The 13,722-nt window shown below is 42.7% G+C and overlaps 1 long non-coding RNA gene across 1 annotated transcript in view, besides 2 other annotated features; it reads left to right on the forward strand.

Annotated features, from left to right (window-relative positions):
* The window catches only part of LOC105375751 (uncharacterized), a 463,156-nt gene that overhangs the window by 311,311 nt on the left and 138,123 nt on the right, over window positions 1-13,722 (forward strand). Inside the window, exon 4 of the long non-coding RNA NR_188069.1 lies at window positions 8,486-8,604. This is a non-coding gene — a long non-coding RNA (uncharacterized LOC105375751). The remainder of the gene's footprint in view (window positions 1-8,485; window positions 8,605-13,722) is intronic.
* Window positions 2,455-2,564: a silencer, noted in NCBI's record as "silent region_19523". NCBI's record gives its function as "represses an Ori minimal core promoter by ATAC-STARR-seq in GM12878 lymphoblastoid cells {active_cell/tissue: GM12878}" and the evidence as "EXISTENCE:reporter gene assay evidence [ECO:0000049][PMID:35858748]".
* Window positions 2,675-2,804: an enhancer, noted in NCBI's record as "active region_27930". NCBI's record gives its function as "activates an Ori minimal core promoter by ATAC-STARR-seq in GM12878 lymphoblastoid cells {active_cell/tissue: GM12878}" and the evidence as "EXISTENCE:reporter gene assay evidence [ECO:0000049][PMID:35858748]".

The raw sequence follows: 13,722 nt of genomic DNA on the forward strand, positions 1-13,722 counted from the left end.
TCCACTGCCACTTTAGGAGTTCAGCGGAGAGAACAATCAGTGAGACCTGAGTGGCTAAGAAAGCCTTCCTGAAGGTGGTGATATGTGAACACCCGTTTAAAAGGTTGCTCTGCTGGAATCCTCTTAAAATCTAAGACTAAAGAAAGAACCAGAACTTATTTACCCTAGAGCTACCAAAACCATGTCACCCCCAGGGCCTGCCTGTGCATTAGGGCAGTGTGTATTAATGAAACATGCTGCTTTTATTTCAACTTCCCACTTCCACCTTGGTGAGGGAATTAAAAAAGAAATCACCTTTGTTTTCTTTAGGCCTGTAGATTGGCTTTTTTTTTTTTTTTTTTGCCCTTCAAGAAACATTTCCAAGCATGGCCAGAAGAGGGTGTGCTTGGGTGTAGGGGAAGGACAGGTGGGACGTGCTCAGTGTGGGATATGCTCTCAGCATGCTTTAGGGGCTGTTTTAAGGAACATAAATTAATAAGGTAGAAATTACTTGTATCCCATTAGAGACTCTGCAGATCACGCAAGTCATTCATTCCTTATTAATCATTCACTTAGTAGGCACTATGAATATGGAAATCAGCAAGACATGGCCCTTTTGAAGATCTAAGAGTCAAAAGAAGAAAATAAATAGAAATCATCTTCTATGAACAAACTCAGGCACAGTTATAGCAAACATGTATTAAGCACAGACAAAGCATCAGGTGGATTAAACATGTGGTGCTGATATTAATCTTACACTGTAGATAATATTATTCACGTTCCATGAAAGAAGATCTAAGGTTGGGGTTGCCCAAAGCCCCACAGCAAGCAAGCAGATTAGTTAGGATTCAAATGCAGTCCTGCCTGACTCCAAAACATACTTTGTACTAAACCATGTGATACCCCCTCATAGCCTTCTGGAGCAGGGATCAGCAAAGTTTTGCTTAAGGAGCCAAACAGCAGATACTTTAGGCTTTGCCAGTGAAGAGACAAATGAAAGATGTTATGTAGATACATATATATACATTTAAAATGAAACCAGTCAATAATGTAAAAATTATTTTCAGCTCACAAGCCATAGCAAGGCAGCAAGAGTTTTCCTATAGACCACAGTTCCAGGGCAATTTCTCTCTTCCATATTCTTCCATATTGTATGTAGTGTGTATATATATGTGTATACATATATACATATATGTATATACGTATATATACGTATACACGTGTATATATGCGTATGTGTATATATACATGTATATATGCGTATGTGTATATATACTACATATATTTACTTATAGAGATGTTTATATATAAACATGCAATATGTATATTATACTACCTATCTACATATACAGTATGTGTATATCTCCACATATACCTTATCTGACATTCTAATGTGTGTGTATACATATTGTTACTTCTGCTAGGATGTGATATCTTTGAAGAAAAAGATCATCTAAGCCACCTTTGCTTCTCTAGAGAGTGCTACATAAATTCTTGCCTATAGTAATGCCTAATAATGATAGTGTTGGAACAGGTGTAATCCATTATTATTTACCGAAAAGACTCCATGGAGAAGGCCATGAATATTTGTTTTATATTGCACCAAGTCACTAATTCCGTGTGAGGATAAGATGTGGTTTTGCTGCTTGAAGTGGTTTTGGGAGAGGCTCTAGAATTTCAGAAGTTGATTGATTTCCAGGCATCGTGACTCCTGGGCTGAGCAGCACAACAGTTTAATGCTTAAGTTCCTGAGTTTCAGAGATTCACAGATCTGACTCCTAATTTTTTCTTCTGCTACTTTTCTTTCTTGAGAGGGCATGGTTCATAGGTTACAAATATCTGTGACAGTAATGATGAAAAGTTCATATTCCCTGTGTTCTTCCTGTGGTCAGGAACTGGTACGGTAGCTTACATGTGTGAAATCATTTAATTCTTATATCAACTCTCAAAGGTAGGTCATATCATTGCCCCCATTTGTTAGAAAAACAGAGGCACAGAGAGGTTAAGTAATTTGCTTAAGATTACACAGCTAGGAAGTGTCAGAACGAGATTCAAACCAGATGAGTTGGCTACAGAACCTGTACTTTATTATTATTAAAACTCCTATGATATTTCTTCTCCAGGGAAATTTATATGAAAAAGCTGCAATTTTAATAGAACTGGAATGGAGTTTCCCAAACCTTGGGTTTGGAACCTATGGTGGCTCTATCTTTGATCTTTTTCTCTCTAAAATGATGAGCACGATAAAAGAGCCACATCATCTGCTTAGAAAATATTTTTATTTTTGAAAAACTTCATTGAGCAAGTGGTAGATGCTGTTGGAGCGTGGAACTCCACACACCTTTCTGTTCTTTCTGTTCTTCTATTAGCAGTTAGTTAAGTCTCCCCTCATGGAGACTTCATACTTACAGTGGTTTAAGAAGTGAGAAACCATGGGGTGTTCAAAGGAGAGCCATTGTGGCAAGAAGTCTAGAGATAGTTATGGGCAAGTGATCAGTCTAAAGAAGAGAAGACTCAGGGCCCATGGCAGTGACCCCCAACCTCCTGGCAGATGGATGCTTCACTGAGGCAGCCAAGCATCGTTGTTAAGACCTTGATTGTCTCAGACCCAACTCCACACTCTGAGCTGTGTGCGTCAGGGGGAACTACTTACAAAGCCTCACTTTGTTTATTAGCAAAATGGAGACACTAATACAAATTCCAAACCACTAATTTGCATATCTAAAATCCCCAAATACCTGAGAACAGAAAACATTTTCATAAGCCCATCACAAACTCATCTTTGACCTAAACTGGCATGAGACGGGAGACTGGAGACTTACTATGATATTTCTTTATCCCACAGTCTGTGAATATGCACATATTTTGTTGCAAAATATTAATGTGTTTGATTACAGCATGCTATCCCAGACCCTGCTGGTGGGGTTAAACAAGATACAATACATATACTATATATTCTTAAATAATAAAAATAGTTATGAATTTCAAAATTTGGCCTAAAAGTTTTGGATAAGGGATAGTGGCCCTGTGCTAACTACCTCATTAGGTCTTGGGGTGGATCAAGTAGAATAAAATATGGAAAGGGCTTAGCAGAGTTAGTAGCACATCATAAATCAACAATAAATGTTTCATTTCCTAAATAGCTATTACATTCTATGAATTAGGTATATTAGTTGAGCAGTTTTGCTCTATCGTCCCATTGATTTTACTCTTAAGAATACTGTAATACAACTTTGTTTAGAGTCCTCCACTATTGTCTCCTGAGATTTTTTTTTTCTTCCAAGATGCCTTCTGAATGTTTTGAATCTGGTGCTTTCATGATTTTCAAAAAATCTCCATAAATTTTTTTTAAGACATAGAAGGCTTATATTCCTTATTCCAAAGACTCTTAAATAGTTTGACTGAAATATTGAGAGAATTTTTATCACACTACCTGAAACAGCCTGTCTCACACATGCATAAGCAACAACGTCGTGTCTGCTGCCCAGCCAAGCACAATCAGAAGTGTCTTCAATTGTTATGAATGTTCACAGATACAGTGTAAACACATATGCATCTTTAGAATAGATGATTTGCAGTACTGTACTACAAAAAGTTGTATTTAGATGGAATTCAAAGAGACCACCTACAGCATGCTGTAAAACAAACAACAATAAAATAACTTCCTCACAAGTAGATTTGTTCCAAAATGGATTGGGCTATGTTTGGTATTATTAAATTCCAATTCTCCAGCAATGGGGACTCTTGAGTCTGGATAAATGCTTATTGGGCATATTGTAGCTGGACTTCAAATTTCACAAAGCATTGTGCTTGAGATGACCTTTGAGAACCTTCTAACTCTCAGATTCTATGAGACTTGAGGAAAGAAGAGACAATCTAAGAGAATGGGGAAACGCAGATGAAACATCCTTGACCTCCCAGGTTTTGCTTGATTCTTGGAATATTCTCTTCGGAGGGGTTGGATTTGAAGGTCGAGTGGAGTTCACTTCAGTCATATATTCTGCCCTGCTTCTGTCCAAAACACAAAGTATAGGAAAAAAGCATTGAGTTGTGAAACGTAATTATGATAAAGAAAAAACTTTACATTTCACATAAAATTGTTAGATCAACTTGGCAACATATGCAGAAGCAGTGCGGAAGCAACTCAGTCTTTAAATTAGCTACTGCTAATGCATACTGGCATTCTACGGTGAAAAGGGTTTAAGAGTGAACACGACACACCCCTTCACCTCTTTCCATGCCAGAGCTCTGAATCGACCAAGAGATGCAACGGGGCTGATAGTTGGAGGATAGAATGCCAGCTCTATTACTGACAAACACTACAAAGCAAAACTACAGTGGGCTTTCCAAGAGTCCCCAGAATTAGTCTGGCTTTTCTGCCCAGTCACTGAAAGGGCTGAAAAAATCAAAACAAGACAAAACCACGATAAATATCTTTCTCCTTGAGGTAGGACCTTTACCTACTGGTAGAGAACACAGGTGCTCTCTGCAAGCCATTATGGCCTATAAAGAGGAGCACTGTAGAATGCTTATCTTCATCCTAAACTTTACAGTGAGATGACCTCGAAGGCCCTCTATGGAGAGGAGTAAGCAGGTGGACAGCGGTATTTAGGGAAAATCTGTCTTTGTGGAGAAGTTCCCTACCTAATTAACCTTCCCTTGTTTGAAGCCTTTTTTGGTGGGACCTGGGGGTGGAAGAGCCCATCTCATTTATCGTTTGTCCTTTGGAAGCATTCCACTCTCCTAAATGGAATTTTATATTGCACACTTTCACATACAAATTGTACAAAACCCTGACCCTTATGTTTGGAAGAAGAGAAATAATGTATTCTATTAAAAGGAGGTCCCCCCATTTAATTGCACAATGATGTGACGGTGAAGCACCCCTAGAGAAGTGTCCTTTAGATACATCTGTGCAGAAGGAACTAGCTGCGTGAACTGGGACAAGTCATGTCACCGCTCCTGGCCTCATTTCCCTTGGGGATTAAGCCCAGTGGGGCACTGGAGGCTGCCTTGGTCCCTTCCAGCCCTCACATTCTCTCACACTCGGCTCTTCTGTTTCCAAGAACAATAATGACTGCAGAAAATATCATTTTGCCTTAGATTGTGATCTTCGTGACTTCATCTGTGTGAACAGACAAACATTAAAAAAACAGCTGAAGCATAACACAGGATCTAAGGCCATGTCCAGGGGCCCTTCCTTAAAGCCTCCAGTTGAGATAAACTTTTAAACAAACAGCATTTGTGTGTTGAGAGAGGTGGGAGAAGGTGGTACGGTATGAAGTGGAGTCTTTATTCAGGGTCTAAGCTCTCGTTTCCTGGGACAGTGAGAACTTTGTCTTTTCGGAAAGCTTGCCTGAAGTGTTTGCCTGTTTTATAGCTTGAGGTCAGGGAAGAAGAACAAGATATATCTGAGCCGCTTCCTCCCTGAGCCTTTCATCCCTCCCTGCTACCTAAGTCTGCAGCCTCTGCACCCTTTGGCTAGATTCCTGCTCAGGAGAACCAGGTCAACTCGCACACATGTGCACATACACACATACAAACACATATGCACACAACAGAACAATCGCACTCCTTTCTACCACTGAAATGAGGCTGATTCCCCTGTGGAGGAAGGGATGGTTTGCTACATGGCCCTCACACAGTCCTCACTCCTTAATGACATCCTTGCCTCACCCGGCTTCACTGCCCCTCTCTGGAGGCTGCTACAGTACTGTGTACATTTCCAGTCTACTTTCTTTGCCTGGAAGGGTGCTAATTTTGTTTTCACACATGCATAGCACTTCTAGTTCATGAGCTCTCTGAATGCAAGGCCTGTATCTGATTTACTTTTGATTCCCTGGTCCGAGGCCTTAGTATATAAAGAGCCATCAGCTCGTGATTTTTGAATAAATTTCAAATTAAGGAACATAGTAAACACCTTTTGGGATCTCTGCTTATCTCACAACCACCTCCAATTAACTGCTCATTAATAGGGGTGGACGTCTGGCAGCCGTGTTTCAACTCTCTAAGACTCTGTATGAACCAATCAGAGTCCCTCTAGCAGGTTGAGAGAGAACGCTTAGCCTTTCCCACAGCAGGAACGGGGATGTGAGGTGTCTGTCCTTCACCAAGTCTCCAGAGAAACAATGTAAGCTCTGCAGAAGATATAGAACTGGGCCGGGGGCGGTGGCTCACGCCTGTAATCCCAGCACTTTGGGAGACCCAGGCGGGTGGATCACGAGGTCAGGAGATCGAGACTACGGTGAAACCCGTCTCTGCTAAAAATACAAAAACAGCTGGGGGCAGTGGCAGGTGCCTGTAGTCCCAGCTACTCGGGAGACTGAAGCAGGAGAGTGGCATGAACTCGGGAGGCGGAGCTTGCAGTGAGCCGAGATCGTGCCACTGCACTCCAGCCTGGGCGACAGAGCGAGACTCCGTCTCAAAACAAAAACAAAAACAAAAAAACAACTGAAGACCTTTTATTAACAAAAATAATGCAAGGTTGTTATAACAAATCAGACCACGCATACCCATATGATGGAGGAACCAATGTTCGAGAATGGCTAAGAATATTTTATAAAAGAAAAATAGGAAGCGGGTAGGGGCTTATCCTACCAGATTAAAACAGTGTGGTAGTGAGTATAAATACGGTATGTTGGCAGAACAGATAGGATCCCGCTACATATAGGCACTTACTCGATAATAAATGTGCCACTTCAGTGGGGAAATGACAGATTGTTATTTTCTTAATGGTACAGAGACAATTGATTCCACATTTGGGTGAAAAGCTAGCTTAAATGGAGTATAAAAATAAATCCATATGAACTAAACATAAACATAAAATCATTATTAAAAATAGTATTAAAGACTATACTTTGAGGTGGAGGCAGCTTTCTAAGCAAGATAGAAAACACAGAAGCTATAAAAGACAAACTATTAGCAGCTTCAGTTACATTAAAAAATTAATAATTTTTAAAATTGGAAAGAGATCCCATAAAGAAATAAGCCAGGTAATTATTAGAAAGTATTTGCAACTCATATGATGCACAAGAGGATATTATCCCCAGGATGCAAGGAGTTTCTACAAATTAAGAACTAAAAGATAGACAACCGAACAGAATAATGAATGAGGGCATAGTTTTAAGTCTCCCTCCCTCTCTTTTTATAAAACACTAATTTTTGTTCAAAGCAATAAGCAAAAGTTTAATTTGTTCTGTGTCCTCTATATGTAAAGTCCATAAAGTTCTGCGGGAATCATCTCCTTTTAAATATGAGCTGCTCAATTTCGACACTGAATTCAGCTAACGTATATTAACCAAGAGAAATCAAGAGTGCTTTGAATTCCCACTCAAATTCATTTGACGGCTATTTGCCTTACCACGCAGGGCTTTTATAAAGCCCCAGGAACGGGGTGTGCAAACAGTGGTACCTAACTCAATTATTTCTCTTCCACCTTTCTTTTCTTTCTTTCTTTCTTTTTTTTTTAATTGACTAGTCTTCTTCAGCAGCTGTTTCAAAGGAAGGGAGGGAGGAAAGTAGGAAGGAGGGGGTGCAGGCAGCCTGGCCGAATTGGTCCATTCTGTTCCTGGTGCGGTTCCTCCTCTAGCCACATGATGGCGGCATGAGCATTGCCGTACTTCTGCGCTCTCAAGTCTAGCGCTTTAAATCCCCAGTTTTAAAGCCAGGGGCGCCGGGGTGTGTTTGTGTTTGTGCCTGCAAGTCAAGGCCATGCCCAGACTTAGCACTCTCAGCTGCTCTGTAATGCAAGTCGACAGGAAAATCTACAAGGGCTTCACGGTCTTCTTTCTAGAAAAATCCCAACAAGGGTTTGATAGTAAAAAGTACTTCGTAGTCATTTTCAAATAGGGGAGAATTTCCTGAAGTATGCAGCATCTGCTCTGCCGGGTTTGCAATCTGTGCACAGGTATTGCAGTTAATGAGCCACCGGCTTGCCGCTTCCAGGGCCAGGCTGGAGCAGTCAGCTGGTGGAATGATGGGAACTGCAATCGGCAGCTCTGCACCAACGTGCCCCGGGTTGGAAAATGTGATTTGTGACAGAGAAGCTTGGGAATAATAATGAAAACATAATTGCTCCAGGTTGGTTGCTCTCTTTCAATTGCAAAGCCGTCTCACCTCTTGTGAGAGGAACTGTAGTTCTAAGCGTTCATTTCTCTAGAACAACTAGAGGCACACCCAGCAACTGTCCTTCTGCCCCCAGTGAAACTTGGATTTTTTTTTTTTTGAACTCCAGAGAAGAGCTGTCCCCCAAATTCAAGAAGAATCGTACTTACTTCATCTCCAGGATGCCTGGGGCAGCTTGTCTGTTCAAGCAGAATCTCCCAAGTCATGAATGTGGCTTTGAAACCTATTAGTCCCATCCTCTGATGCCTGGGACCAGGCTATTATATTGTCGGGTTGGTTTATTGTTGTTGTTGTTGTTTGTTTTTGCCTCATGAAAATAAAAAAAATTAAACCCCTGCGTATGAATGAATTTTCATCGATTTTTCATTTGGTCATCCTACAGAAGAGGCAGAGGATGTTGACACAAACTTACAGACTGGGACTCCAAGGATCAGCCAGATGAAATGCTATGTGCAGAGTCTTCATTTCCCAGCTCAGTGGTGGACAGCAGAGGACTCTAAGGTGGGTTGCCCTGATTGGAGTCCCCCTTCAGCCACTTTAAGTTAACGGATGTCTCTGAGCTCCAAGTTTCTCATCTGTAAAATGAAGAGAAAGATGTCAATTGCTTGGGTTTTGAGAAAGACTGAAAGAGATCATAGATGTAAAATACTTAGCGTGGGGCCCGGAACCTCTCCTGTGGCTGGGAGTGAGTGGGCATGTTGCACATTGAGAACCTCTTTACACAATTGCCCATCCTCCTAGCCCTGCAGTCTGTGCAGACATTTCCATGCCAATCTCCACGGTATTTGTGCAAGTAATTCTTTCTGCCATGGGGCTTCTCTGGCTGACTTCAGAATGTTGCTCAGCTTTAAAGGATGGACTGAGAGGTTAATGCTGGCGGAGGCACCCTAACCAAAGGGGGACTGGATCTGTTGGATAAATGCATCCGCTCTTCATTTCCCCAAGGGTGATGGTTCCGAGACATGTCTCAAAAGAGGGGGACACTGAGCCACAGTTACTCCCAGGAATGGCCCAACACACAGCATATTTCTACATTCATGTTTCTTTTTCCTGTTACTCAGCGGTGCTTCACTCTTGTTCCTTAGAATCACCTCATAAATGAACTACCTTGACATGCCCTGACCCAGGCTCTTTATTTGGAAACCCAGGCTAGGACAGGAATGAAGAGAAGCCAGACCTTCTGACTCGAAGGTTAGGAGTCTTTTGATTTACACACACATGCGCACGCACACAGACACACACACTTTGTTTTGTGTCCATGGCAGGCAGGTGGAGGAAGGGGGAGTTTGGCCAGCTCTAAGGTCTTTCTAGATCATCCCATACATTGCTGGGGACCTCCAAGGGACAGACAGTGTCTTCATCAGGTCCTTTAAGGACACAGGTTCCTGTGCATTGATGGCATTAGTGCTGAAGCCCAATTGCCCCAGCAGCAGCAACCAGCTTTGATCTGGGGCTGGCATCAGGCGGTGCCAGCAGATGTCTCCATGATGTGATTTAAGGGCACCATTAGACTCTGCCATGCAAATATATTATATGGGTGGGGTGGCACTCTAACCTTAGGCTATTTGTCACACTGGGGTAAGTTGGAACTTGCAGCAGGGTAGGCAGTCCTGGGTGAGTGCCATGTGCCCACCCCCACTTTAAGCTACCATTTATCCATGATCAATTATGAGTCAGCACCACGCTAATACTTCTATGCCCATCAGTCCTTTCTCAACCCAGGCTTTACAACAGAATCACCTGGAGCACCTTTAAAAGTGCCAGTTGTAGTCCCCACTCCCCTCCAACCCCATCCATTCTGTTTTAATTGGTCTGAGGGTGTGGCTTGGACATCCATAAAGTTCCTCAGCTAATTTTCATTTGCTGTCAAGTTTGAAAACTGCTGATACCCAGTTGTCTTCTTTATCCTCACCCCGACCTTCCTAGGGAAATATCTTTACCCCTAATTGTTCAGGATGGGAAGCAGAGAATGTCTTGGAGAAGTTAAGTCACACAGCCAGTTAGCTGTGGAGCAAGGTTTCAAATGCAGGTCTGACATGTCAGGCTCCAATCAAAGTAATATTTGCCAAATTTTCTTCTAAAAATGCCAAGGCAGAGTGTGTTCTTCCGAGAGAGGATATTAGAGTGACCAGAAGCAGTCTGGAAATTTCTTGAAAGTCTCAAGCTTCATCTTAAAAACTCTTTATTTGTTTTGGTAAAAATGGTAAGATTTTACATTATTTTTGACAAAGTTGATATTCCAAGAAGACAGGCTGGGGTCGTTCATACCACACTGTGCTTGCAGGGGATTGTATACACTGGTGTGAGCCACTGAGCCTGGTCTATACACCGATGGACAGGAGAGGACTGGAGGACATGATGAGGGGATAGACGTGGAAGAAGGAGAAAGCAGAACTTGGGGAGAAAGAGTGATGGGTATCTGGATGCCCTCAGGACTGATTCTGCTAATATTTCTCACCATATATCTTTTAAAAAGTTATTAGCTTTGGAGGATGCAAGCATTCAAGATTGGTGTAAGAGCACAGCTCATGATGTAAATTTCACTTATCCCATATTTCAGAGGTTGACAATTTTTTTTTTTTTTTGAGATGGAATCCCACTCTTTCACCCAGGCTGGAGTGCAATGGCACAATCTTGGCTCACTGCAACCTCCGTCTCCCGGGTTCAAGCGATTCTCCTGCCTCAGCCTCCCGAGTAGCTGGGATTACAGGCACCCACCACCATGCCTGGCTAATTTTTCTATTTTTAGTAGAGATGGGGTTTCGCCATGTTGGCCAGGCTCATCTGGAACTCCTGACCTCAGGTGATCCGCCCGCCTTGGCCTCCCAAGACAAATATTTTTAATAAAGGGTTAGATAGTAAATATTTTGGGCTTGTGGCCCATGCGTTCTCCATCACAGCTATTCAACTCTTGCTATAGCACAAAAGTAGCCATAGACACTACAGAAATGAATGGGCGTGTAGCCATGGACACTACAGAAACAGGCAGGTGGGATTTGGGCTGTGGGCAGTAGTTTGCTGAACCCTGTGCTTAGTTTGCTTACTTAAAAGTGTGAGTTAGATAATTAGCTTAACTCTTGATCTTCTCACTTGATTTATCTATAAAATCTCAATGTAAAGGCTAGACTAGATAACCATAACAGCTTCCGGTTTGCTCTGGGAGTACACACGTGCACTTGTGTTGCTAGCCTCCCAAAATGGATTTGGTTTCCAGTTAAGGCACTGAGACTTGGCCAGGTACAGTGGCTCATGCCTGTAACTCCAGCGCTTTAGGAGGCCTAGGTGGGTGAATCTCTTGAGACCAGGAGTTCAAGACCAGCTTAGGCAACATAGCAAGACCTCCCCCTCTAGCAAAAAAATACAAAAAATCAGCCAGGTGTTGTGGCATGCACCTGTAATCCCAGCTACTTGGGAGGCTAAGGTGGGAGGAATGCTTGAGCCTGGAAAGTCTAGGCTGCAGTGAGCCATGATTGTGCCACTGTACTCTAACCTGGGTGATGGAACAAAACCCTGTCTTTAAAAATTAATAAAATAAAGAGACACTGAGACTTTGAACAGTTTGGTCTAATGCTTCACATCTAACAAGCAGAAGGCCAGAATTTGCACCCAAGCCTTTTGGTAACTAAAGCCCAGATTCTTTTCCAGGCTATAACCATGTTTCTAAGCAATTGTTTGAAAATACTTCTAGCCTAGAGATCTACGAGGCTACGATTTCATTTACCTTCTCTAGCTGGCTCTTTGCCCAATATGTGACAGTGCTAAAATATACCAGGCAAGCCACTTTTAAACAAATAATGTACCTAGGATTGAGTCTATCCATCTGAGTGCATTGACTTGGCATCCTGTAGGCAAATATCGGGAGACTGATCTCTTTTGGGGACCCACCTCCTTCAAAAAAATATTTGGCAATTCATCTGAAGCATCTCCTTATTTCTGCTCTTCCAGCTGTCTCCATTATTGCAGGGTCATGCAAGCACTCCCAGAGTGCAATCCCACCAACAGCAGCCTGCCAAATGCAATAGATACACTCCCCCTGTGTCATTGGCTTTAAATGGCCACTGCGGAAATAGCCAGGAAGCCAACAATCACTGTGGCCCAGATGCCCACTCACCCTGTCACTCATTTCCCCTCTACTTAAATTTCAGCCCAACATGTATTTATGTGTCCAATCATTCTAGGCATCCAAATGAAGAATACAAATGTGCCCTCTGCCTCACCCTCTAGAAGCTGCCGTGCCAGGGCCTGTGCTAGGTGCTTAAATATATTCTGTCCATTATGCTATTTAATTCTTCCAGCAGCCTTACAAGGTAGAGATTATGATCTTCATCCTACATGTATAGAAGATGTGTGCTAAGGTAGCGTCCCTTCTCCTCAGAGAGCTGGGTACGCTTGGCTCAAATCTCCACTCTCGTGTGTGGGGACACTTAAGCCCTCCCCTGAGATTGTTGTGAGGTTGTTGGTGGGTACACCCTCCGCACTTCCTCTGTGGTACACTCATTGTTTAGATTTTGGAATGGATGAATTAAAAAGGAATCAGACAGTCAGATACCAATGGCTCTTAAGTCTCTGGGGTCATAGATCCTTTTGAAAATCTGGTTAAGGTTTAGCAGATGAGAAAACACATGTAGTCCGGGCACAGTGGCTCACGCCTGTAATCTCAGCACTTTGGGAGGCCTAGCCGTGCAGATCACCTGAGGTCAGGAGTTCGAGACCAGCCTGGCCAACATGGAGAAACCCTGTCTCTACTAAAAATACAAAAATTAGCCAGGCGTGGTGGCAGGCGCCTGTAATCCCAGCTACTTGGGAGGCTGAGGAAGAAGAATTGCTTGAACCTGGGAGGTGGAGGTTACAGTGAGCTGAGATCGTGCCGCTGCACTCCAGTCTGGATGACAGAGTGAGGTTCCCTCTCAAAAAAAAAACAAAACAAACAGAAACGACGTGTAATTATCTATAGTTTGTATACTGTTGCAGCGGGTTCATGGACAAAATTGAGTATGTGCGAAATGTAGGTTAGCATGCTAGACATGGAGCTACTGCTAGCACCTGGTAGACCCTTGGAGCAGATGCTTCTGGAGCCGACCCCCACTACCCTGTTCCTTATCCCCTTGCCCTTACCACAGTGCACACCAGCCCCAGTGTCCACCAGCAGCTCCTGCATTTCTCTGTCTAAGGGCTTTCTTTTAGAGCAAGATTTGCTGCCATTGTGATGACCTGAAGTGATAAGGAATGAATGCCCCCCTGAGAAGAGCCCTCAGTCAATGATTGATAATGTATGCATACCCCAGCTCCCGCTCCCTTTAGTGAGGCCAATCCCAGGCACATGTGCCACACTGTCTCTCAGTTCACTCAGTCGGATTAAGCTCCATTGCCCACACTGGTTGCTGGCTCAAGGGTTCGTCTTTTACTGGCTACCTTCTTTTTCCCCACTTTCCTACCAGTGTACCCTTAATTACCAAATAAATTAGTTTAGTTGCACTGAAATCTTTTGTTTCAGAGACAGCTTCTGAAAAACCCAAACTAAAATAGCACTCAATAGTTTTATGTAGAATTTGTTATTCCTTGTGCTATATGAGTTTTAATGGGTATTAATTTTACAGGTGGGAAAATATGACACATACA

Source organism: Homo sapiens, chromosome 8 (assembly GCF_000001405.40).
Source record: "Homo sapiens chromosome 8, GRCh38.p14 Primary Assembly".
Lineage (NCBI taxonomy): Eukaryota > Metazoa > Chordata > Mammalia > Primates > Hominidae > Homo > Homo sapiens.